This window comes from Homo sapiens, chromosome 17 (genome assembly GCF_000001405.40).
Source record: "Homo sapiens chromosome 17, GRCh38.p14 Primary Assembly".
In the NCBI taxonomy this organism is placed as follows: Eukaryota; Metazoa; Chordata; class Mammalia; order Primates; family Hominidae; genus Homo; species Homo sapiens.
This window is the reverse complement of record NC_000017.11, coordinates 50,655,385-50,678,520: the sequence shown is the minus strand read 5'-3', so window position 1 is coordinate 50,678,520 and position 23,136 is coordinate 50,655,385. Positions and strand designations below refer to the sequence as shown.

The following is a 23,136-nucleotide window of genomic DNA, read 5'->3' as shown; positions in this document are numbered from 1 at the left end:
ACGGCTGAGCAGGAGAGAGATGTGGGGTTTGAGGACAGAGATTATTCAACAGAATTCTTTCTGAATGTGAGAACATGGGCTTCTTGGGGAAGGAAAGTAGGAACATCCAGCCATGGTGTGTGGTTATAAACTTGTCAACTCAATGATTTTTTTCTTTTTTTTTTTTTCTCACAGTCCTTGAGAACAGACCCTGTGGCTGGTGCCCATACTGAGCAGGGAGGGGCACTCGGGAGATGCCTGGAACACCTGTGTGGTTTCTGTCCCAGTGGTGGCCCTGCCCTGGGGTCCAGGCCCTTCATACCTGCAAGGAGTAGGACACAGAAAGGCCCACCAGCCCCGGGTTCAGGCTGCTCCTCCCGATGACGGCAAATAGTGCAGCAAAGAGCACCACGCAGTTCCCCACGAACTCCACTCCGATGCTCAGCCACCTATGGGGGATCAGATGAGGAGGAAATGGGGCAGGGGCAGGGCAGGGCCAGTTTTCTGCTTAGGGGAAAGGAGGGACAAGGACCCTGAACACCAGAGAGCCTGCTGGGAATTCCTGGAGGAGCAGGGAGCGAGGGAGGCGGCTTCTGACCGGTTGGAGATGATGTAGGGGTAGCAGCTTCTCTGGTTGGCATCCACCTTAGTATCACTGATGATCTCAAAATCCCGGCTGCGGTTGTAGGCCCGGATGACACTGGCACCAGTCACTGTCTCCGAAAAGTGGGAGTAGATAGGTGAGCGGCTGACTGATTCCAGCCGCTTCAGTTGCCGTGATGTGGCTGCATAGAAGCGCTGATGGAGGGAGAAGGAGTTTGGGGTCAGGGCCATGGAACCCCCAACTCAGTCCTGCCTGTCTCTGAACTCATCCATTTTCAGATGAGTCCTCCCAGCCAGCCTCACTCCCACCACGAGACATCGCTGCCTTCCCCCACCTCCAAGGACCCAAGACTTGGGGCCTTGATGTGTCATTCACTCCCTCCCTCTGATCATCTCTGCTTCAACCCCACAACAACACGGCTCTGCCTCCAGTTTCCATCCTCTCCTCTGTGGCCTCAGATATCCAGGCTATACAGGATGTCTATCTGATTCTCCCCTAGCCCAGCACAGAGCACAGCCTAGATCATGGTCGCTATACCCAGGTGTTGAGCATCTATCCCCGGGAACTGACTAATTCATTACAGAACAGGAGTTCAGTGTCTGCAAAGGCCTTTTACAGTTAGCTGTATCTGAAGGTTATCAACTCATCTATGTTAAACGCATGCATACACGTATGTTTAGATATGTATAAAAGGAAGGAAAGGATAATGTGTCCCAAACTGTTGACAATGTTTTATCAAAAAACAGCCAACAGGAAGGCCGGGTATGGTGGTTCCCACCTGTAATCCCAGCACTTTGGGAGGCCGAGGTGGGCGGATCACTTGAGGTCAGGAGTTCAAGAGCAGCCTGGCCAACATAGTGAAACCCCATCTCTACTAAAACTACAAAAATTAGCTGGGCGTGGTGGCGCATGCCTGTAATCCCAGCTACCTGGGAGGCTGAAACAGAATTGCTTGAACCTGGGAGGCGGAGGTTACAGTGAGCTGAGATCGTGCAGCTGCACTCCAGCCTGAGCGACAGAGCGAGACTCGAGATTCCGTCCCCCCCCCCCCAAAAAAAAAAAGCCAACAGGAAAGTCCCAGTGCCAGCTACAATGTATAACTATTTCATTTTATTCTCTCACCAACTCCATGAGGAAGGTCTATGAGTCATTCTATTTTACAGGTGAGGCAAATGAGTTTCAAAGAGGTTAAGTAATGGCTCCCCTAACATAAATGTTAAGCAACGACTGCCCCTAACAAAACTCTGTAATGTTGGTGGCCTGAAGTGTCCCACCCCTGCTGCCCCCGCCCATGTGTTGCCCCGCCCCAATAACACCACGCCCACACTGGAATCACGCCCACCCCACACCTGCACTAAGGTGTAGAGCACAGCCAGGGGCAGGATGACCACAGTGAAGAGCGGCGTGCTGGCCATGATGACCACAAGAGTGGAGATGGCGTTGAAGAAGGAATTGAGCAGCATGAGGATGACAGGGGCCAGAACCTCATCAACGACATAGATGTCCTTGGAGAAGCAGTTCAGGATGCGGCCTGATGGTGTGGTGTCAAAGAAGGACTGTGGCGAGCGTATCTTGTTGTGCAGCAGTGCCTGGTGCAACACACGGGCAGCCTGGATGCCACCCGCTGCCATGGCCATGGCTGCCAGCATCACCAAGAACCCTGTTGGAGAAGGCAGAGGGCGCTGGCTCACCTGGACTAGTGAGCGGGCACAAAGGGGCAGAATCAGAGACACGGGTTGACCAGAGTGGGTTAGGGAGGCTTGGATGCAAGGGCACGGTTTGGGGGGCCTGGCAGCCCAGAGAAGAAGGGATATTGGAGCCCCTTCTGGACACCCCCACAAGCTCACCTTGCAGAATTCCTAAAGCAGCATAGACGCCCAGCCTCAGGGAAGTGTTGTTCTGTCTACTGTCTGCCATGGCATCATTTGTCCAGGCACTGAGCCACACATTGGCTCCAATGGCAGCCGCACTTTGACCCACATACAGGAGACAGATGGCCAGCGTGGTACAGAGCCCCACGGCCTTGGCATAATCCCAGAACACACTGAGCTCCACCTGTAGGGAGCAGCCATGGCAGTCAGGGACAGGGGACTCCATAAACCCTGGGGCTGCTGGGGCCTGCCTGTCCATCCCCTCCAGCCCCTCTTGCCCCACCGACTCACAGTGCCAATGGCTGCTTTCTCCTCCTGGGTCAGTGCCCCATCTGCCTTCGCCTCTGTCACCTGCACCTTCTCTGATGGACCCAGGTGCCTCCGGGGTACAGGCCGACCCTGTCCCTCCCCATCTGAGGACAGGGCACTCAGCTGTCTGTGGAGGCAGCTGGTCAGGCCCAGGGAGGGGGCCTCAAGCACCCCCCAGGACAGAGGCTGGGAGTGTCAGGGAGAAACCTGCACCCCATCTGGCAGGGCCTGGGGAGGCCTGATACAGCCTCCGGGAGGGCTGGGAGCTCTCAGGAACTCACCTCATAAACTGCTTCTGGACCACATAGGTGACTGGATCATTGTCTGTCAGATCCGTGTGGTTGCTGAGTGTGTCTTCAATCAGCAGTGCCTCCTTATCCTCTGCACCTTCCAACGCTGCAGTAGGGTGGGAGGAAGGAGATAGGGTTCAGCTAGTTCTCCCTGCAAGCCCCTGGTATCTCCCATTCCCCACTCTAATGAAAGGGGTTCAATGGACAAGCATGAAAATAAAATGAGGGGGATTGAAAGGGCAACAAGAAAGACTTGGGTTAAGCAACAAGAAAAACTCTCTTCACAAATTATGGAGAAACGGACTCAAATACAAGGGTTAGGAACTTGGGCTCTGGAGTTAGACTGGCTGAGCTTAAAACTCACGTCCTTGGTCGGGCATGGTGGCTCACGCCTGTAATCCCAGCACTTTGGGAGGCTGAGGCAGGCAGCTCACGAGGTCAGGAGATCGAGACCAGCCTGGCCAACATGGTGAAACCCCGTCTCTACTAAAAATACAAAAATTAGCCGGGCGTGGTGGCGGGCACCTATAATCCTGGCTACTCGGGAGGCTGAGGCAGGAGAATCGCTTGAACCCAGGAGGCAAAGGTTGCAGTGAGCCAAGATCGCACCGTTGCACTCCAGCCTGGGCAACAGAGTGAGAAACTGTCCCCAAAAAAAAAAAAAAAAAATCTGCATGACTGTAGGCTTAAAAGAAAATGTGTCCAGTGTGTGAGCGAGGGGCACAGCACTTGGTAAATGCTCAAGGCACGTTGGCTGTATGTATAGCCATAGGCAAGAAAGCCCAGGAAAAGGTCTGTGAGCCAATCCAGAATTGGGGGCTGGGGAGCTGGGTCTGGGCAACAAGGAGCCAGGGGCATGTTGTGAGCCCAGAGACGTCAACAAGCTCCATGAGGACTATAATTTTTTTGTTTGCTCACTGCTATAGCTTAGTGTCTGGAACAGTGCCTGTATATAGTGATTGTCCAATAAATTTTGGTTGATAAATAAGCGGCTTTGCTAAGCACTTGCATACTTGCCAAACTATTTATCCATGAAGCAGCCTTGCCACACAAGCTGGGCCTGGGCCCTCCTATGCTTTCAACAGATGGAAAACAGGCTCTGAGATCGGGCAAGGTGGCTCACACCTGTAATCCCAGCACTTTGGGAGGCCGAGGCAGGCAGATCACGAGGTCAAGAGATCGAGACCATCCTGGCCAACATGGTGAAACCATGTCTGTACTAAAAATACAAAAATTAGCCAGGCGTGGTGGCGCATGCCTGTAGTCCCAGCTACTCGGGAGCCTGAGGCAGGAGAATCACTTGAACCTGGGAGGCAGAGGTTGCAGTGAGCTGAGATTGTACCACTGCACTCCAGCCCGGCGACAGAGCCAGACTCTGCCTCAAAAGAAAAAAAAGAAAGAAAGAAAGAAAGAAAGAAAGAAAGAAAGAAAGAGAGAGAGAGAGAGAGAGAGAGAGAGAGAGAGAGAGAGAGAGAGAGAGAGAGAGAGAAAGAAAGAAAGAAAGAAAGAAAGAAAGAAAGAAAGAAAGAAAGAAAGAAAGAAAGAAAGAAAGAAAGAAAGAAAGAAAACAGGCTCTGAGACCGGGGCGGAGGATCTGAGTTCCCACAGTTAGGGTAGAGTAGGATGGAGGAGGCAGTGGGACCCGACTATGTCCAGTTTACTTTACCTCTGGTGACTGTCACACAGATGGCCCAAGTTTCCCAGAACCTGCCTGGCACAACACTAGGCCAGTCTAGACACACTCAGAGACCCCAGACAGGGGGAATGCTGGGAAGGCATGGGAATCAGAGGGCCCAGGATGGCAGATACCGGTCCAGCTGTCCTCCAGGTGCCCTTGGTCCTCATCGGGGGCATAGTTGCAGAGAAAGTTGGCAAAGGAGCCGTTGCGCTGCAGCAGGGCTGGGTACGGGCCCATCTCAGACACCTGTCCATCAGCTAGCACAATGATGAAGTCTGTCTGGGGCAGGAAGCTAATGCCGTGCGTCACCAGCACTCGCGTCTGGGGAGAAGGCAGCAGGCTCTCACCCCTACCACCCTCCAGCACACCCCTGGCACAGGCACGGAGCCACAGAGTGAGTGTGAAGTGTGCCCATGTGCCAGGGAGCTTGGACAGGCACATGGGTGACTCACCCTGTGCTCGCCACAGCCTGCTCAGAACCTCGCAGGTGGGGGAGTTGTCCCCACAGGTTTCTCCTGATGCCCAACCCACATGCCCACTTCTTGCGCCCCCCACACCTCCAAGTCTCATCCAAACCCCTCAGCCTCTCACCAGCTCTCTCTTCGGGCCTCAGATCTCACCTTAGCCCCCTTAGCCTCTGGCAGGCCTCACCTTGCCTGCCAGCACGCCTTCTGGCCCGATGACGTGGTCAAAGATGTGCTTGGCCACATGAGAGTCCACCGCGGACAGTGGGTCATCCAGCAAGAAAATATCGGCATCACTGTAAACAGCTCGAGCCAGACTGACCCGCTGCCGCTGGCCCCCAGACAGGTTAATGCCCTGGAGGGAGGCGGGGGGTGGGAAAAATGGGGTCAGACAGGCACAGGGAGACAACGGCCTGTCCACTGTTATTTGGGATGGCAGATTTTTTTTTTTTTTTCCTGAGATGGGGTCTCACTCACCCAGGCTGGAGTGCAGTGGTGCGATCTTGGCTCACTGCAACCTCTGCCTCTCGCGTTTGAGCAATTCTCATGCCTCAGCCTCCCGAGTAGCTAGGATTGATTGCAGGACCACCATGCCTGGCTACTGACTAAAATGTTTTATTTTTTATAGAGACAGAATCTCCATATGTTGCCCAGCCTGGTCTCCAACTCCTGAGCTCAAGCAATTGGCCCACGTCAGCCTCCCAAAGTAAAGTGCTGGGATTACAGGTGTGAGCCACTGTGCCTGACCAGAACAGCAGTCTTCTGAATCTATATTTCACATGGGGCCTAGTCTGTCCCTGCAATGCTGTGAGGGACAGAGGTAAAGGGTAAGTCCTCCTGGGGCAGGTGAGGCCATTCTGCTCCATTGGTCACCACCCTGCCCAGCTTGGTGTCCTGCCCAACCCATCTACGGATAAATGGGCACACAAATGTGTATATACCTATAATGAAATATCATTCAGCCTTACAAGGAGGGAAATTCTGACACATGCTACAACATGGATATGCCTTGAGGACATTATGCTAAGTGAAATAAGCCCGTCACGAAAAGACAAATGCTGGATGATTCCACTTACGTGAGGTACCTAGGTGATATGGTTGAAATATTTGTTCCTTCCAAAGTGCATGTTGAAACTTACCCCCCAGTGTGGCAGGATTGAGGGGTGGCATTTACCAGGTGATTAGGTCATGAAAACAGAGCCCTCATGAATGGTTGATCCATTTATGGATTAATAGGTTGATGCGTGAATGGGTTACTGGGGGAGTGGGACCGGTGGCTTTATAAGAAAGAAAGAGAAACCTGAGGTCGCGCGTGGTGGCTCATGCCTGTAATCCCAGCAATTTGGGAGGTCGAGGTGGGTGGATCATTTGAAGTCAGGAGTTCAAGACCAGCATGGCCAATATGGTGAAACCCATCTCTACTAAAAATACAAAAATTAGTCGGGCTGTAGTTGCGTGCGCCTGTAATCCCAGCTATTCGGGAGGCTGAGGAAGGAGAATCGTTTGAACCTGGGAGGCGGAGGTTGCAGTGAGCCAAGATCACGCCGCTGTACTCCAATCTACAGTCTGGGCAACAGAGTGAAGCCTTGTCTCAAAAAAAAAAAAAAAAAAAAAAAAAAAAAAGGAAGGAAGGAAGAGAGACCTGAGCTAGCATGCTCGGTCCCCTTGCCATGGGATGCCCTGTATGGCCTTGGGACTCTGCAGACTCCCCGCCAACAAGGAGGCCCTCTCCAGATGCAGCCCCTGGACCGTGGACTCTTCAGCCTCCGTAACTGTACAAAATACATTTCTTTTCTTTATAAATTACCTAGTTTCAGGCATTCTCTTATAAGCAATAGAAAATGGACTAAGATACTAAGTAGTCAAATTCCTAGGAACAGAAAATAGAATGGTGGTTACTGGGGCCTAGGGGCAGTGGGGAATGAGGAGTTGCTTAATAGGCACAATTTTAGTTTTGCAAGATGAAAAGGTTCTGGAGATCGGTTGCACAGCAATGTAAATGTACTTAACATTGCTGAACTGTACACTAAGAAATGATTAAGTTTTTTTTTCTTTTTTTTTTTTTTAAGACAGAGTCTTGCTCTGTCGCCCAGGCTGGAATGCAGTGATACAATCAATCTCAGTTCATTGCAACCTCCGCCTCCTGGGCTTACGCAATGCTCCTGCCTCAGCCTCCTGAGTAGCTGGGACTACAGGCACACGCCATCACACTCGGCTAATTTGTTTGTATTTCTAGTAGAGATGGGGTTTTATCATGTTAGCAAGGCTGGCCTTGAACTCCTTACCTCAAATGATACACCTGCCTCAGCCTCCCAGAGTGCTGGGAGCCACCATGCCGGGCAAGATGATATATTTTATGTTATGTGTGGTTTTTACCACAGTTAAAAATTGTTAAAAAGCAAAGCCCCAAATTTTCCCCAGTGTTCCATGTTTTTTAGAGTAAAGGCCAAAATCTTAACCAAGGTAATCAGGGTTCTGCCTCTCTCTATCTTTTCCCTCCATTTCCCAACTCCTAGTCATGCCAGAGAACTCCAAGACCCCATACAGGGTTCCATGGCCCCAGACAGAGCTTTCTGGCTCCAGACAAGGCTCACTCGGTCTCTTTGTTGAGTTCTCTGATTCTCAGTGAGGATTTCCCAAGCTACCTTAACCATTCAACTCTGCAGGCATTCCTGTATTCCTTCCCCGCTTTATTTTTTCCACTGAGCATTTATCTAACATATTATATATTGTACTTATTTATCTTACTTATTATCTCTTCCTGCCACTAGAATGTGAGCTATATGAAGGTAGAGATATTAGCCCGGCATTTTAGTATTCACTACTGTATACTATTTCCCAGAATAGAGTGGGTGCTTAATAAATATATGGTAAATGAATGAACAGATACATGATGAGCTCCTCCTCCTCAGTTGTTAAAACTGAGGTCAAAAGTGATGCTTAAGGCTAGGCACGGTGCTCATGCCTGTAATCCCAGCACTTTGAGAGGCTGAGGCGGGGGGATCACTTGAAGCCAGGAGTTCAAGACCAGATGGGCCAACATGGCAAAACCCCGTCTGTACTAAAAACACAAAAATTAGCCAAGTGTGGTGGTGCGCACCCGTAATCCCAGCTACTCGGGTGGCTGAGACACGAGAATTGCTTGAACCCGGGAGGTGGAGGTTGCAGTGAGCCATGATCTGCGCCACTGCACTCCAGCCTGGGTGACAGAGCAAGGCTCTGTCTAAAAAAAAAAAGTGATGCTCAGCCAGGTGCAGCAGCTCATGCCTGTAATCCCAGTACTCTGGGAGGCCAGGGTGGGAGGATCTCCTGAGCCAGCCTGGGCGACATGGCAAGACGCTGTCTCTAAAAAAAATTAAAAATTTAGCTGGGTATGGTGGCATGTGCCTGTGGTCCCAGATACTCAGGAGGCTGAGGCGAGAGGATCACTTGAGCCCAGGAGTTCCAAGCTGCAGCGTCCCATGATGTCACCATGGCACTCCATCCTGGGCAACAGAGTGAGGCCTTATCTCAGAAAGAAAGAAAAAAAAAAAGTGATGCTCTTCCTTATGTAGGCTCCCTGCTGTGCCCTCCCTGTACCCTGCACAGGCCTTCAGCCTGGCTCCTAGAATATTCAATAGTTCCTACTTGTTCACTAAACAGATCTGCTAATAGATCTGTTTCCCCAGTGCCTGGCACAGAGTTGGGCATAACGTTACACCAATGTGTGAATGAAGGGATGAATATATGGACCTGGGCTGGGTTGAGGTGGGCAGCTCTATGCCCTAGCCTCTTAGGGATGGAAGAGGACTCTGTACCTTCTCTCCAATCTCTGTCTGATCCCCACCAGGCAGCATCTCCAGGTCAGCTAGCAAGGCACAGGCCTCCAGAGTCTGCTGGTAGCGCTTGGGGTTCAGGGCTTTGCCGAAAAGCACGTTTTCCTGAAGAGTGCAGTTCTGGATCCATGCCTGCTGGGGCACATAGGCCACGGAGCCCTGGCCACAGGAGAAATTTACCTCGGGGCTTGCCCAAGGCCTGGCTGAGCCCCACACCCTGCCCAGGAGCCCCTGCCTCTCTCACCTTCATGTGCACTTTGCCTTCTAGCTTCTCCATCTCTCCCAGCAGGGCAGACACCAGGGAGGACTTCCCACAGCCCACAGGCCCCACCACGGCCACCAGTGCCCCTTTCGGGACCTGGATGTCTAGGCTGGGGGCAAGGACCCCAGGAGTCCAGTTAGAGGCAGGGATCAGGGTTTTGGTCTCCAACCCTCCACCTGCAGAACCAAGCCCTCCGCCCTTCCAGACACCCCCCTGGCAGGCTGAAGCTCTTCCTGCATTCTTGGTCAAAGGCTTTGCAGGGTGCTGCTATTGATCTGAACTTCCAGCCCACCGTGGGCAGCTGGGAAGGGAGTGGGAGAAGCTGGTACCTGTGCAGAGTGGGGGGCAGGTCCTGGGCCCAGGTGAAGGTGCCACTGTGTATGGTGATGGCATAGCCTGAGAGGACCAAGGTGGGCAGGGTCAGGGAGGGAGCTCAAGGGATGGGGTAGCCTGCAGGGAGGCTGGGGGGCAGGGGAAAGGAGGACAGGGGAGGAGCCTGGGCCATGGGGAGGGGATCCTTGGGAAAAGGGAGGAAGAAAGGGATGTGGGGAGCCCTGTGGAGGAGGGCGGAGGAGAGCAGAGAACCCGGAAGAGGGAGGAGGTCAGAGTCGAAGCAGATGTGAACAGAGGAAGAAGAAAAGGGGTCAGGAGAGAACAAAGGAAAAGCTTGAAACAGAGGTTTTTCTGGAGCAAGGACTGGGGCAGGCAGCCCAGGTAGGGGCTCTCTAGACCTGGGGAGATGGTCTTTCTTTCCACACTCTGGGGGTCAAGTTCCTCTTGGCTCAGGAATTGCTGGATCCGTTTCAGAGACACACTGGCCTACGGGAGGATGTGAGTCAGCCCTAGAGACTGTACTTTCCCAACCCCCAACCCCTACCCTCGCCCCATCCCCAGCATCCTGGGCTAGGCAGGACCCCCTGAGGGCCCAGACACTAGCACTGGGGTCCCTCCCACGACTGAGTCTTCCATGGCTCCCACTGCCCAAAGAGAAAGTCCAGGTTGGTAAGAGGAGGCTATCTACAGAACTCAGGTTTCCAGACACCCGACCTGACCACCTGTGACTCCAAATGACCCCTGACCTTAATGACCTCATTCAACCTTGAATAGCTCTTCATAATGCTAGCAACCTTCCCTGAATCCAATAACTCCCCCTGATTATCCCTTGCCCTAAGTGACCCTTCCCTGACCCCAACAACCTGTTCCAACTCCAGTAGAGCCCCCAGCCCTACCCAGGGTTACCTGAGTCAGGTTGCTGATTAACTGGGGCAGCATGTTGAGGGGAAGTCTTAAGATATTAAACAAGGACACAGACACAAAGGCCTTCTCGGCGTCCAGCACATTGTTTGGGTCCACGTACACGTACACCCAGAGGGTGATCAGGGTCACCTGAGCAGCGTGGAGGTGGTGTCAGGGTAGAGTCCAATGAGCCCTGGCCATGCCTGGGCACCCAGAGCCCTGGAGGCAGGGACCCAGCCCTGTGCCAAGCCTCACCAGGAAGGGGCTGCACATCCAGGTGAAGGTGGTTGTGGTGTGGAGGTAGGCCGCCGTGCGCAGCAGCTGGAGCTCACCCTGCCTGATGCCCTCCACCTGCTTCAGGAAGCTGGGCTCCCAGGCGTACAGCTTCAGCACCTTGATGCCGTTCAGGATCTCACTCATCAGCTTGATGCGCGAGTCCTTCAATTTCATTTGCTTTACCTGTGCAGGCAGAAAGAGTGTCAGTGGCACACCTGCTCCCTCCCCTGACCTCCTGCTCACAGGGTCCTACCTTCCATCCATTCTCATCCATTGCAGCCATTCCACGCTGCCCACCATTCCTTCTCACAACTCCTTGCTGGGCCTGTGCTGTGCCTTGGCCTGGAATGCACAGCCCCTGCCTCCCTGTGTCCTCTGCCTGACAAGATCCATCTCCACCCTCAGTGCCACTGCACCGGCCTCCCCAGGCAGCATCCTCTGTCCCCTGCCCTGGGTTTCTTCTCCTACTACTTCTTTTTCTTCTTCTTATTATTATTGCTAGTATTATTTATTTTAGAGATGGTGCCTCACTGTGTTGCCCAGGCTGGACTGCAGTGGTACAATCATAGCTCACTGCAGCCTCAAACTCCTGGGCTCCTTTGATCCTCCTGTCTCAGCCTCCTGACTAGCTGGAACTACAGGCATGAACAACCATGCCCAGCTAATTTTTAAATTTTTTTGTAGGGACGAGGTCTCACTCTGTTGCCCAGGCTGATTTCAAACTCCTGGCCTCATGTGATCCTCCCACCTTGGCCTCCCCAAGTGCTGGGATTACAGGTGTGAGCCACCACACCTGGTCCCCTTCCCTGGGTTTCTAAAGCACATTGCACTTTCCTTTTGTTCCATAACCATTCCTTTACATATATGTTTCTCTAATCAGACTGTGAGCTTCCTGAGGGGATGGACTATTTATTTCTCTTTGTTCTCCAAGACCTTAGCCCAAGGTGTGGCACACCAGATTAATGTATTCATTCAACCCCTATTTATGGAGTGCCTACTATGTGCCAGGCCATGGGCTACGTGTAGAATTTGTCACGATGAATTCAGACAAGGCCCCTGCCATGATACAGCTGACGATCTGATGGGGGAGGCATACAATAAGCAAACAATGATCTGAATAAATGCTTAATTATTAATCATTATGTGTGTTCTGATGGGAAATCACAGGATCCTGTAAGAAAGTAATGAGGTGATGGCAGGGAAACTAACTTAGACTGAGACTGGGCAGTCAGGGTGGACTTCTGGAGGAAGTGACTTTTTTTTTTGAGACGGAGTTTCGCTCTTGTTGCCCAGGTGGGAGTGCAATGGCGCGATCTTGGCTCACCGCAACCTCTGCCTCCTGGATTCAAGGGATTCTCCTGCCTCAGACTCCAGAGTAGCTGGGATTACAGGCATGTGCCACCATGCCCGGCTAATTTTGTATTTTTAGTAGAGACGGGGTTTCTCCATGTTGGTCTGGCTGGTCTCGATCTCCCAACCTCAGGTGATCCACCTGCCTCGGCCTCCCAAAGCTCTGGGATTACAGGCATGAGCCACCGTGCCCAGCCGAGGAAGTGACTTCAATGCCGAGAGGTAAGGGAAGGAAAGGAGTTAGGCAGGCAAGAGGGGGATGACAAGCATTCCAGGCAGAGGGAATAGTATATGTGGTGGCCCCTAGAGGTACCCTGAGCTTGGTGCTGTGGAGAAAAGAAAGAAGACCAGACTGGCTGAAACTTGGCCAGTCCGCAGGGGGTGAGGACTTGCAAGGTAAGCAGAAGCCTGCTGAGTCTTCTTAGGGGGTTTGTCATTTTTCCTATGGGCAGTGGGAAGCTAGTAGACTTCAATAGGCCAGGTGTGATGGCTCACACCTGTAATCCCAGCACTTTGGGAGGCTAAGATGAACGGATCACCTGAGGTCAGGAGTTTGAGACCAGCCTGGCCAACATGGTGAAACCCCATCTCTACTAAAAAAAAAAATACAAAAATAAGCCGGGTGTGGTGGCATGTGCCTGTAGTCCCAGCTACTAGGGAGGCTGAGGCAGGAAGATCGCTTGAACCCGGGAGGCAGAGGTTGCAGTGAGCCGAGATCATGCCACTGCATTCCAGCATGGGTGACAGAACGAGACCCTGTCTCAAAAAAAAAAAAAAAGAAAAAAAACACTTCAAGAAATGTTTGCAAATAGTAGACTGAGTGACTGGCTATTCATGCTTAGCACAGTGCAGCGGGAAAACTCCTTGTTAGACCAGGATAGTCAGGTTTGAGTCCCAGCCCTGCCTGATTCTGGACTGCCATTATTTCTCTAAGCGTTGGTCTTCTGCTACAAAATGAGAATGTCAGTAAAACCCTCTGAGAGCTGTGAGGGAAGAGTGAGCTATGGTTTCTGCAAATGGCTAGTAGCCATCCATACTCAGGAAGCAAGGTAGTTGGGAGGCCCCAAGGTTAGTGGACACCTTCCCCCAGGCAGCCGGCCGGGTGCTGCAGGCAGGAGGATGCACCTCTGACAGCACCTACCTGGAAGGCGCGCATCTTCACGGCCACAGCTCCGTTGAGTGGAATCAGCAAGACCATGAAAGCGACTCCAGCCAGGACAGAGGGACCTAGGTTCTGAGGAGGCACCGGTGGATAGATGACACATAGGGACAGATTACCAAAGTCTACAGAGAGAACCCAACAGGCAAACAGAGGCCTGTTAACTTGAAATGTGTAGATGGGCAGGAAGCAAAAGATGGTGGTTGGCCAAACAGATAGAAAGTCAGAATGACCACAACATTTGTAGAAGCAGCCAGCCATTAGATAACGACGACAGGGACAGACAGCAGATATAGAAGGGTGTCCAGACACACAGGAAGGCAAATATAGACGATGACAGCCAGAGTCACACCCACCTCCCTCCAAGACTTTCTTTCCTCCCTGGCTTCTGCAGGAAGGATAGCAACAGATGTTGGGAAGATTCCTTTGCAGACATCAGCATCCTCGAAGTCCTATCCCTCCATCCCCACCAATGCCTAGGGAAGCTCTTGTGTCAATTCTTTTTTTTTTTTTTTTTTTTTTTTTGAGACAGAGTCTTGCTCTGTCACCCAGGCTAGAGTGCAGTGGTATGATCTCGGCTCACTGCAACCTCTGCCTCCTGGGTTCAAGCGATTCTCCTGCCTCAGCCTCCTGAGTAGCTGTGACTACAGGCACCCGCCACCACGTCTGGCTAATTTTTGTATTTTTAGTAGAGATGGGGTTTCACCATCCTGGCCGGGCTGGTCTCGAACTCCTGACCTCGTGATCCACCCGCCTTGGTCTCCCAAAATGCTGGGATTACAGGCGTGAGCCACCGTGCCCAGCCAGCTCTTGTGTCAATTCTATATCCCCTCTGCTAACCCAGAATAACCCTCCTTCTTTTTTTCTGTTTTCTTTGTTTCTTTTTAGAGACAAGGTCTTGCTATGTTGCCCAGGCTGGAGTGTGGTGGCTATTCGCAGGCACAATCGTGGCGCACTGCAGCCAGAACTCTTGGGCTCAAGTGATCCTCTTGCCTCAGCCGCCTGAGCAGCTGGGACTACAAGCATGTGCCATGCTCCCAGTTCCAGAATAATCCTCTCTTGCCACTTCTGCAGCATGTCAGAGGAAGGAGGCAGAGGTCAGGGTTGGAGAGTCACCTGCCAGAGGAAGTAGATCGCCAGGATGATCTGCAGGGGTGCTGACCACAGCAGATTGAGGAAGGGGGCAAGGTCCATGAAGCGCTGGGCATCCACTGACATGAGGTTGACAATTTCCCCCACAGTGGACGCACGTTTGACTGAGTTGGTGATAACCAGAGCCTGCAGGTAGACAGTAGTGGGTGGACTTGGCTGCGAGCCTCTTGCAAGCTGCCCAGGGCCAGCCTTTCCCCTGGGCCCTGCTCCAGCTGACCTTCCTGTAGATGACACCCATGATCCCAGTACGAAACTTCACCCCAGTCACAAAGATGTAGTGGTAATAGTGTTGTAAGATCAGCGACTGCATCATGGAGCACAGGAACATCAGCCCAGCCACCAGGAAGCCCCACCAGGAGGGGGCCATGGGGTTGGAGATAAACCTGATCAGGATGCTGTGGGGAGGAGAGAGGAGTGAGGTGGGCAGTGCTGCCCCCATGGCTGCTCCCTCCTCTGCTGCCCTTTGCTTTTACCCGCAGTCTCCACTGCACCCCTGGCCTCTGAAACCTCCACCCCCTCCAACCTCTTGGGCCAGGGAGGGTCAACCCAGTACTGCCTCAAGACCACGACCTCCTGGCTCCACTCTGCCTTCACCTCGTTCTCTATCCACCATGGACCCTGCTGCACGCCCTATCGATGACGCTCTCACCACCAGCCTCACCTGCCTGCCTTCTTACCTCCTGACATATGGCGGGAAGAAATGCCACGTTTCCATTGACTGGACTTCCCTGCTCCTTCTCCTAGGCTGCTGGGGGCTCTAGATTCCGCCACATGACCACAAAGACTCTTGCCGCTCAAATCCACCTTTCCAAACTCAGTGGCCCCCAGCACTGCCTAGCAACCTTCTCTAGGTCCCTAATCCGCCCCCGCTCTTGGGGCCTTCTTCACCTCTCTTCTCTTCCCTTCAGGCCCATCCCAGCCCCCCACCCCTCTCAGCAGCTACCTGCCTTCTTGCTTAGCCACCCATTGAGAACTCCCTGCCACCCACAAACTCCTTGCCACTCACAAACTGCCCTCCAGTGGCTTGTCCTCCTTTTTCTGGTGCTCAGGCTGTCGGAGGCTGCCCCTGCCCCCGAGCCCTGGCCTTCCTCTGCCTCCTCAGGAACTTGCTGCGCTGTTGCCCCCTTTGCCGCTGAGCTTCACCCTGGCCACCTCTGCTGGAAGCTCTACACCTTCACCTATTGACATGACCGAGTCTCTTCATTGTTGGGACACTCTCCTCTCGACTACATGGAGCCCTCCAGCCATAATCATAGCCAGGCCTCCCCTTCTGTGATAGCTTAAGTTGTGTCTCCCAGAAAGATATGTTCAGCTCCCAACACCTGGTACCTGTGAACGTGGCCTCATTTGGTGAGGTCATATTGGAGTAGGGTGGGCCCCAGTGGCCCCAGCCCAGTGACTGGTGTCTCTCTCTCTCTTTTTTTTTTTTTTTTTTTTTGAGACAGGGTCTCTCTCTGTCACCTAGACTGGAGTGCGGTGGTGCCATCACAGCTCACGGCAGCCTCAACCTCTCAGGCTCAGGCAGTCTTCCCACCTCAGCCTCTTGAGTAGCTAGGACTCTAGGCGTATGCCACCAGGCCTGGCTAATATCTTAACTTTTTTGTAGAGACAGGGTCTTGCTATGTTGCTCAGGCTGGTCTCAAACTCTTGGGCTCGAGAGTTTGACTTCCAGCTAGCTGGGAATCTCCCCTTGGAGGACCCACCAGCACCACTGGCCCCACATGACCAGACTCCATCCACCACCTTGCCCCCCACCCAGCCTCCTCCTCCCACCGAGCCCATCAGCTCAGCAAAAGATCCATCGTCCTCCAGTTACCCAGGCCAGCACCCAGGTTGCCTGGCACTCCTCTGTCTCTCTGGCGCACACGCCCATCTCCCAAATTGCTCCTGAATACTTGTCTCATTCCTGGCCTGGACTCCATCTGACCGGGTTGGCCCACTTCCATCCAGCCACCCTGCCCTACATCCCCCACACTCCTGGCAGGAGATCCTTGAAGCCAGATGCCCCTCCCTGGCTCAGATCTTTCAAGGATATCCTTAGCTCTCCCTCTCTCTGTTTTCCTGCCCCTCCCTCTCGTTGCCATTTCCTCTGCCACTCAGAAACACCTGAGTCATGCTGTTTCAGGGCTTTGTGACTAAGCTGAGGCTGAACTTTCCCCTGTTTCTTCACCTACTTGTCTCTCCAAATTCGTTGACCTCCCAAGCCAGTGGGTGCTTCCTGCTGCATCCCAGGCTGGCTTCTTTGCCCCTCCCGGGGTTTTCCAGACACCCGAGAACACTTCTGCCCCCACTGAATTCTAATTGATTTACACGCTGGTTTCTCCCATAAGACATCAAGACCCTGTCTTATTGAACTCTGTATCCCTAGTATCGAGCACCATTCTGGTACCCTGGAGGTTCAATAAATGTTTGCTGAACAAATTAATGCATGCACGGAGGGGCAAGGAGGTGGGGACTTAGCTACTAGGCAGCTCTCCTTCCCACCCTCTCATTTGAGAGCTCGTTCTAGTCCAAGCCATTCCTGAGACAGATGTTAGAGCCTGATGGTGGGGACAGAGCACCTCAGTCGGAGCTCAGAGTCCTGGACTCAGACCTGATTCCTTCTTTGCTGTGTGCCCTTGGCCAAGTCACTTCACCTCTCTGAGTTCCTGCTTTCTCATCTGTGACATGGGAATGGGGCAATTCCGCATAGGATTGTTGGGAAGATTTAAAGACCCAATGCTTGTTAACGTACACACCACGGTGCCCGGCACATAGTATATGCACAGCAATTCTAAGTTGAATGTGAGTGAGGAAACAAGTCAGGCAATGCCACTTGCCAAAGGTCACACAGAAAGTGGAGCTAGCCTCCCTGGTTCCTGGTCTGGGGTTCTTTTCACTGTACGTTGTTCCTTCCTCTGGGCTAGCCAGCCAGCCCTGCTGCCCAGGGCAGGGCTATAGTGAGCCGGAGTGTGGAGAGACCTGAGCAGCTGTGGATTGATGAAGGAGAGCAGGTCCTGGATAAGCTTGAAGCAGGCACTGATGAGGAAGCTGGAGCCGAAGGTGGCCAGCAGGGCCTTCAGGAAGGAGGGCTTCCGGGGCCTGGGCCGGGCACCCAGCAGCACCTCGTCCTCGCCGGAGGCATTTTTCCCAGGTGCTGCTGAAGCCTTGTGTCTGGTCCAGGGAGGAAGGAGCAGTGGGTTAGGAATGGGGACAGGGGCTCCAGGAAGCCAAGGGCTAGGCTGGGCTGGCTAGGAGTGAGGAGGAGGAAGGAGCTGTTTTCTTGGCTCTCAGAGCTGGGAGGGGAACAGACAGCATAAGAATTGCACAAGCGACTCTGTCCTCAGCTGCCAGAGGGCATCTGAAGGGGTGGCCAGACTGCTACCACAAGGACTCTAAAACCCAGCTATCCCCCCAGTCTGGCCCTCTCCCCGCCTCCCCAGTGCTGGCTCCAGGGAGGACGCCAAGAGGGAAGGTAGATAAGATCAAGGATGGCTGTTGGTACAGCCACCGGGCAGCTGAACAGGGAGGGGGTGGAGTGGCATGGAGGGACTGAGAGGGGGTGCAGCAGGCAGACTGGGGGCCCATAGGTCTTCGTGGAGGCTCCAAGCCATGAAAGCCAGGATACTGCTAACCATGCCCAGCCCCAGGCTCCTCCAACAGCTGGTGACAACCGGAAGCTCCGGGCTGAGCAAACATTGAACTCCTAGGCCTGGATTGTGGATGGGAGGAGGGAGGGTTCAATCCTGGGGTCAGAATTGGGTGGAGAAAGATGATGCTCAGCGTCAGCTCTCTTGGTGAGGCAGTTGGCCAGAGACAGGTTTGTGGTCCTTGATAAGAGGCTGACAGTGGGAAGACCCCTCAGGGGAAGATCATCTCATTCAGCCGCCGCCTCCAGACAGGAGGAGGCAGAATTGGCAGGGGTGTGCTGGCTCCTGGCCCTGGAATCAGCCCTCTCAGTCAGGCAGGGTGGTGCAGTGATATGAGGAGAACCTCTGGGGCCAGCCGGCTCCATGTGGATTCCAGCTCTGCCACCACCAACTTGGGGACCCTGGGAGGCCCTCTGTTAAATTTCTGTGCTTCGGTGTCTCCATCTGTTTTTGTTGTTGTTGAGAAAAGGTCTCACTCTATTGCCCAGACTGGAGTACAGTGGCACAATCTCAGCTCACTATAGCCTTGACCTCTTGGGCTCAAATGATCCTCCCACCTCAGCCTCTCAAGTAGCTGGGACTACAGGTGCACACCACCATGCCCGGCTCATCTTGTTTATTTTTTGTAGAGACAAGGTCTCACTATATTGCCCAGGCTGGTCTTGAACTCTTGGACTCAAGCAATCCTCCTGCCTTGGCATCTCAAAGTGTTAGGATTACAGCTGTGAGCCACCACACCCGGCCCCAGTGTCCCCATCTGTAACACAGGGACACTTGAACCTACCCTTTAGGGCTGTTGAAAAATTAAGTGAGTTTATTTATATCCTTAGGATGGGACCTGGGATGGAGTAGTTGCTCCAAAGTGCCAGCCATTCTCCTGCCCCCACCAGAGCTGGGAGAACTAGCGCCATCCAGGCCTAAGCTTCCCATAGAATGGTCCCGAGGCTGCCAAGAAATCACCTGGTCCTGCTCTGCTTGCCACCCCAGCAATGCCGCCCTCCAAGGTCTACCAGCGTCCTCTGCAGGAGATCTGGGGTAAGCGAAGGGGCTGGGTGTTGGGGCAAGGGGAGGGCCTCACCGTGCCGTCTGCTTTTCCTGCTTCCTCCATGCCTCCAGCAGCTGCTGCACCACCATCTGGGATCTGTCCTCTTCCTTTAGGGACCAGAGGTCCTTCTCCTCCAGGGGATGCCGGTAGCCATAGATGGCCATCCTGGGGGGAGGTGAAGCCCGGCAGGCAGCCCCGCAGAGGGTCAGGGTTTAGCAGCCTGGAGCCAAGGGTCAGTGTCTCCAGGGCCCCAGGGTCTCCAGAAAGGAGGGTCTCCCTCGGGCACTGTGACCATGAAAGGTGTCTCCTTCATTTCCTCAGTGAATAGGCTTGAGGTCACTGGCTCTCCCTCCGAAGTTCCTACCACTACCCCCTTCTCCTCCTCCTCCCCAGGTGTCCCATCTCCTCCCCACCCCAGGCCCTGGTGATGGAATCCACGCTGCCTGGGGCCCTGGGTGAGGACGAGGCCTGGGCAATTTGGCCCCAGCCTCGGGTGCTTCCTCAGTGCTGTGGGGTTAATGAGCTGTCACCCAGGTCACAGACACAGTTATCCTGCTCAAGCCGCTCTGAGGCGCAGCCAAGGAGATGACAGGCTGCAAGTTTATCACAAACAGAGGAGCTCAGAACTAATGACAGTCTTCTTCCAGCCTCCTGGGCCTGTCCCCACAGCCTGCCAGATGCAGGGCTGGCCTGTAGCCTGGGGGCGGCACTGGGCCAGGCCAGGCCTCTGCATTTGGTCCCCCTCCCAGACCACTTCCCTACCCTCATCTGCCCTGTGCCCACTGCGGTGGGGGGTGGGATAGGTGGCCAGCCCGGTCCCTAAACTGCTGCCCTGCTCCCCTTTCTCCATCTCACCTTCCATCCCTCCCCTCCCTCTGGCCTGGCTGGTGGAAGAGCCAACTCACTTTGTGAACCACCAGAAAAACAGGCGGGAGAGAAAGCCAGCGCTGGTCTCAGGGTAGGGGTTCTAGAAGGCGAGAGAATAGGACGGGGGAATCAGGAGTGCCCACCACCCTCTCAAAGCAGAGTAGGGAAATGGAGGGGACCCTTGTTCCTGCTCCAAGCCCCAGTTTACAGATTGTGGGGATGACCTCTCTCCCACTTTGAAAGGAACTGGAGGGGTTGGGGGCTGCTGGTCAGAGTTGGGCTGAGGACTCAGCTGTGGAGCCCCCGCACCCTCCATGGGAAACTCACAGGGTCGACATTCTTTGCGGAGAAAAATGGAGGTTTCTCCCTGAAGCAGGCCAAGATGAGGGCAGAGAGTACCAGGGCAAAGTGGATGTAGAAGGTGGTGAAGCGGAAGGGGTCTGAGATCTCACCCTGGGTGGGAGAGTGGAGGGGCGTCAGAAGCACTGGAAAAGCCTGGGCCTGCAGCCCCTGCCCTGCGGAGTCCCTTGGGGCATCAGTCTCCTCTGGGGCAGGAGGCAGCACCTGGGGGCCTCCAGGTCCCCACTCAGAGGACTCTGAGAGATGAGGAAGGATCACAAGGGAGCTCTGGTTCAGCGAGGACCAGGTGTGGCACCTGTGCCAGGTGTGGTGCCATCACCTTACCTACATGACCTTGTCTAACTGGGACATCAGCCTACAGGCAGGACAGCTCATGACGCCCTTTCTGCAATTAAGGAAATGAGGCTCCAAAGGTTTCAGCGACCCGCCCGAGCCCACATGGGGAGTAAGTGGGTTGTTCACAGCCTATGTTCTTTGCTACTCTCCTTGCCTGCTTCCCGCTGAGATGGAGAAATGGGAGGCACTAGGTTGGCCTGCAGTGTTCCATCCCACCAGCCCAACATCACAGCCACTGAAGATCAAGAGGAAGGCCAGGAACTGAGGGAGGTGGGAAGAAAGGAAGGGAACATGCTAATGGGACCTCTAGGTAAGCCAGAACTCTTCACACTTGTCTGCATACATGTGTTCATTACACAGGCACTGACTGACACCCACGTCAGATATTGCACTTGGTGGGTGGGTGCTGTGGAACAGCCCCCTACCCTCACATGATGGTCCAACAGTGGTGGCATCTTGGCTCATTCCTGTGTTACACTGGTGCCCCCTCCTCAGCCTGCTTCCAGGTAGAAATGTAGCAAGTGGAGAACAACACAATTGTGTTTGTACTTGAAGCCTCGAGGGAGGGACCTGGGACCCAGCAGTGACTTTGAACCCTGAGGTCACCCTCCTATCAGGGCTAAACCTGGCAGGTTCCCCTCTCCCCCAACCTTACCTCTGCCTTGGCTAAAAGGATCTTGGAGCGGAATGGGACGATGGCGCAGACCACACACAGGAACCAGAAGATAATGAGGACCCCCGAAGACTGTACGCCCTGCAGCCGCTCATACTGTATCAGCAGGGTGGCCAGCAGCTGTGCAGGGAGGGCAGGGAGGCCCGGGCAGAACACACACATCTGGACCTGCCTCCATTTCTCCCCATCCCACATGGCCAGAAGTTTCTGGGGCCACCCCCTTCTTCTTCCCATTCCCAATATGTCCAGCCCTCTCCTCAGAGCCCACAGTTTCCCTATCACAGTCCACAACCCAATGGAGACCTCCCCCATCCACTTTCCCAGGGCCCCACACTGACCATGGTGACCCCCACCACCAAGGGGGTGACAAAGAAAACAGGGGCAGGGGCCCGGCCATGGACCAGGCCATGGAAGGAGTAAAAAAGGTCCGCCCAGGAGACGCACCACAGCAGGACACCCAGGACCTGCGAAGAGAGCACAGGTTGGAATCCGCATCCCCAGAGGCAAGGACAGTCCTCACTGGGAAGGGGTCTTTGTACCTGAAGCCACCAGAATCCACTAGACCTGCCTGGGACTGGCACTGAGGTCTGGGAATGGAGCTGACCAGAAGCTTGCTGGAGGTGGGGAGAGTGTTGCTGAACTTACTTAAACTTTCCCAAGTGGGGAATATGTCAGCTGGCTGTATATATTCTCAGTTGTCAGATTCCCATGACCCCAAGCAGGTCAGGTGAGACTGGGGAACCCAGTCCAGCCGAGGAGGTGGGAGAGGGCCTCATTAAAACCAGAATGCTGGCTGGGCACAGTGGCTCATGCCTCTAATCCCAGCACTTTGGGAGGCTGATCACCTGAGGTCAGGAGTTGGAGACCAGCCTGCCAAAATGGCAAAACCCCATCTCTACTAAAAATACAAAAATTAGCTGGGTGTGGTGGCGCATGCCTGTAATCCCAGCTACTCAGGAGGCTGAGGCAGGAGAATCGCTTGAACCCAGAAGGCAGAGGTTGCAGTGAGCCAAGATCATGCCACTGCACTCCAGCCTGGGCGACAGAGTGAGACTCTGTCTCTAAATTAATTAATTAATTAATTTAATTAAATTAAAAAATAAAAGCAGAATCCCCAGGGCCCAGCCCCATCGGTAGGAGATCCCTGAGCCACTGACCATCTTGAGCTTGGACAGGTGGGAGAGGATGATGTAGCCACGACAATGGTGCCGCAGGTAGAGCAAGTAGCAGGGCAGGGCGACCCACAGGTAGATGCAGGGCACCCAGGCCAGCAGGGAGTTCTGGAAGCAGGGAGTGAGGTCCGGGTTTTCTGTGTGCACAGACAGGTTGGAGTCCTGGGGACACAGAGAACAGTTTAGTGCTGTGGCAGCCCCACAGAGAATTGGGCTGCCTTGAGGAAGATGGCTTAGCTGGAGAGATGTTCCATCAGAGACAGGGGTGGAGTGGAAGACAGGTGAGGAGGAGAGAGTACACAAATGAGCAGTTGTCGTCCCAAGTGTGAATTCTCCAAGGACGCCATGGCTGCCCCCATTTCCTTATATTCTCTCTCTTTCTCTCTAATTGAGGCATAATTTAAGGGCAACAAAAACTGCACCCAATTAAAGTGTACAATCAGTGAGTTTTGACAGTTGTATACACCTGCAAAACTGCTCCCATGTTACCTTATGGTCCTCTGCAGTTCATCCCTCCCAGGCTCATTTTCTTTCTATCATTCTGGATTCCCACTCTTTTTTTTTTGTTTTTGTTTTTTTTTTTTTTTTTGAGACAGAGTCTCACTCTGT

The 23,136-nt window shown here is 53.7% G+C and overlaps 1 protein-coding gene across 2 annotated transcripts in view, besides 4 other annotated features; it reads right to left on the bottom strand.

Moving 5' to 3' along the window:
* The window catches only part of ABCC3 (ATP binding cassette subfamily C member 3), a 57,373-nt gene that overhangs the window by 13,733 nt on the left and 20,504 nt on the right, over positions 1-23,136 (bottom strand). The window contains exons 2-25 of one of the 2 annotated variants that reach the window (NM_003786.4): positions 22,513-22,689; positions 21,694-21,819; positions 21,338-21,475; positions 20,314-20,439; positions 20,025-20,086; positions 19,153-19,284; positions 17,407-17,598; positions 14,663-14,840; positions 14,410-14,571; positions 13,276-13,368; positions 10,764-10,967; positions 10,512-10,658; positions 10,004-10,091; positions 9,602-9,668; positions 9,255-9,381; positions 8,993-9,169; positions 5,383-5,550; positions 4,863-5,052; positions 3,045-3,159; positions 2,746-2,890; positions 2,431-2,638; positions 1,933-2,243; positions 578-777; positions 302-428 (exon numbers count right to left, since the gene is read on the bottom strand). In NM_003786.4, coding sequence (NP_003777.2) covers positions 302-428; positions 578-777; positions 1,933-2,243; positions 2,431-2,638; positions 2,746-2,890; positions 3,045-3,159; positions 4,863-5,052; positions 5,383-5,550; positions 8,993-9,169; positions 9,255-9,381; positions 9,602-9,668; positions 10,004-10,091; positions 10,512-10,658; positions 10,764-10,967; positions 13,276-13,368; positions 14,410-14,571; positions 14,663-14,840; positions 17,407-17,598; positions 19,153-19,284; positions 20,025-20,086; positions 20,314-20,439; positions 21,338-21,475; positions 21,694-21,819; positions 22,513-22,689 — 3,660 coding nt within the window. Of the gene's footprint in view, positions 1-301; positions 429-577; positions 778-1,932; positions 2,244-2,430; positions 2,639-2,745; positions 2,891-3,044; positions 3,160-4,862; positions 5,053-5,382; positions 5,551-8,992; positions 9,170-9,254; positions 9,382-9,601; positions 9,669-10,003; positions 10,092-10,511; positions 10,968-13,275; positions 13,369-14,409; positions 14,572-14,662; positions 14,841-17,406; positions 17,599-19,152; positions 19,285-20,024; positions 20,087-20,313; positions 20,440-21,337; positions 21,476-21,693; positions 21,820-22,512; positions 22,690-23,136 lie in introns of those variants that run through there. The other variant, NM_001144070.2, reaches the window with a different exon arrangement.
* Positions 899-1,193: a silencer, noted in NCBI's record as "tiled region #5804; K562 Repressive DNase matched - State 21:Repr". NCBI's record gives its function as "represses a minimal TATA promoter and a strong SV40 promoter by Sharpr-MPRA in K562 cells {active_cell/tissue: K562}" and the evidence as "EXISTENCE:reporter gene assay evidence [ECO:0000049][PMID:27701403]".
* Positions 15,492-16,473: an enhancer, noted in NCBI's record as "H3K27ac-H3K4me1 hESC enhancer chr17:48739409-48740390 (GRCh37/hg19 assembly coordinates)". NCBI's record gives its function as "activates a minimal SCP1, AML or CMV promoter by ChIP-STARR-seq in naive H9 embryonic stem cells {active_cell/tissue: H9 hESC(naive)}" and the evidence as "EXISTENCE:reporter gene assay evidence [ECO:0000049][PMID:30033119]".
* Positions 15,492-17,335: a biological region, named in NCBI's record as "P300/CBP strongly-dependent group 1 enhancer GRCh37_chr17:48738547-48739746".
* Positions 16,136-17,335: an enhancer, noted in NCBI's record as "P300/CBP strongly-dependent group 1 enhancer chr17:48738547-48739746 (GRCh37/hg19 assembly coordinates)". NCBI's record gives its function as "activates an origin of replication core promoter dependent on BRD2, BRD4, P300/CBP, MED14 and CDK7 cofactors, with strong dependence on P300/CBP, by STARR-seq in HCT116 cells {active_cell/tissue: HCT116}" and the evidence as "EXISTENCE:reporter gene assay evidence [ECO:0000049][PMID:35650434]".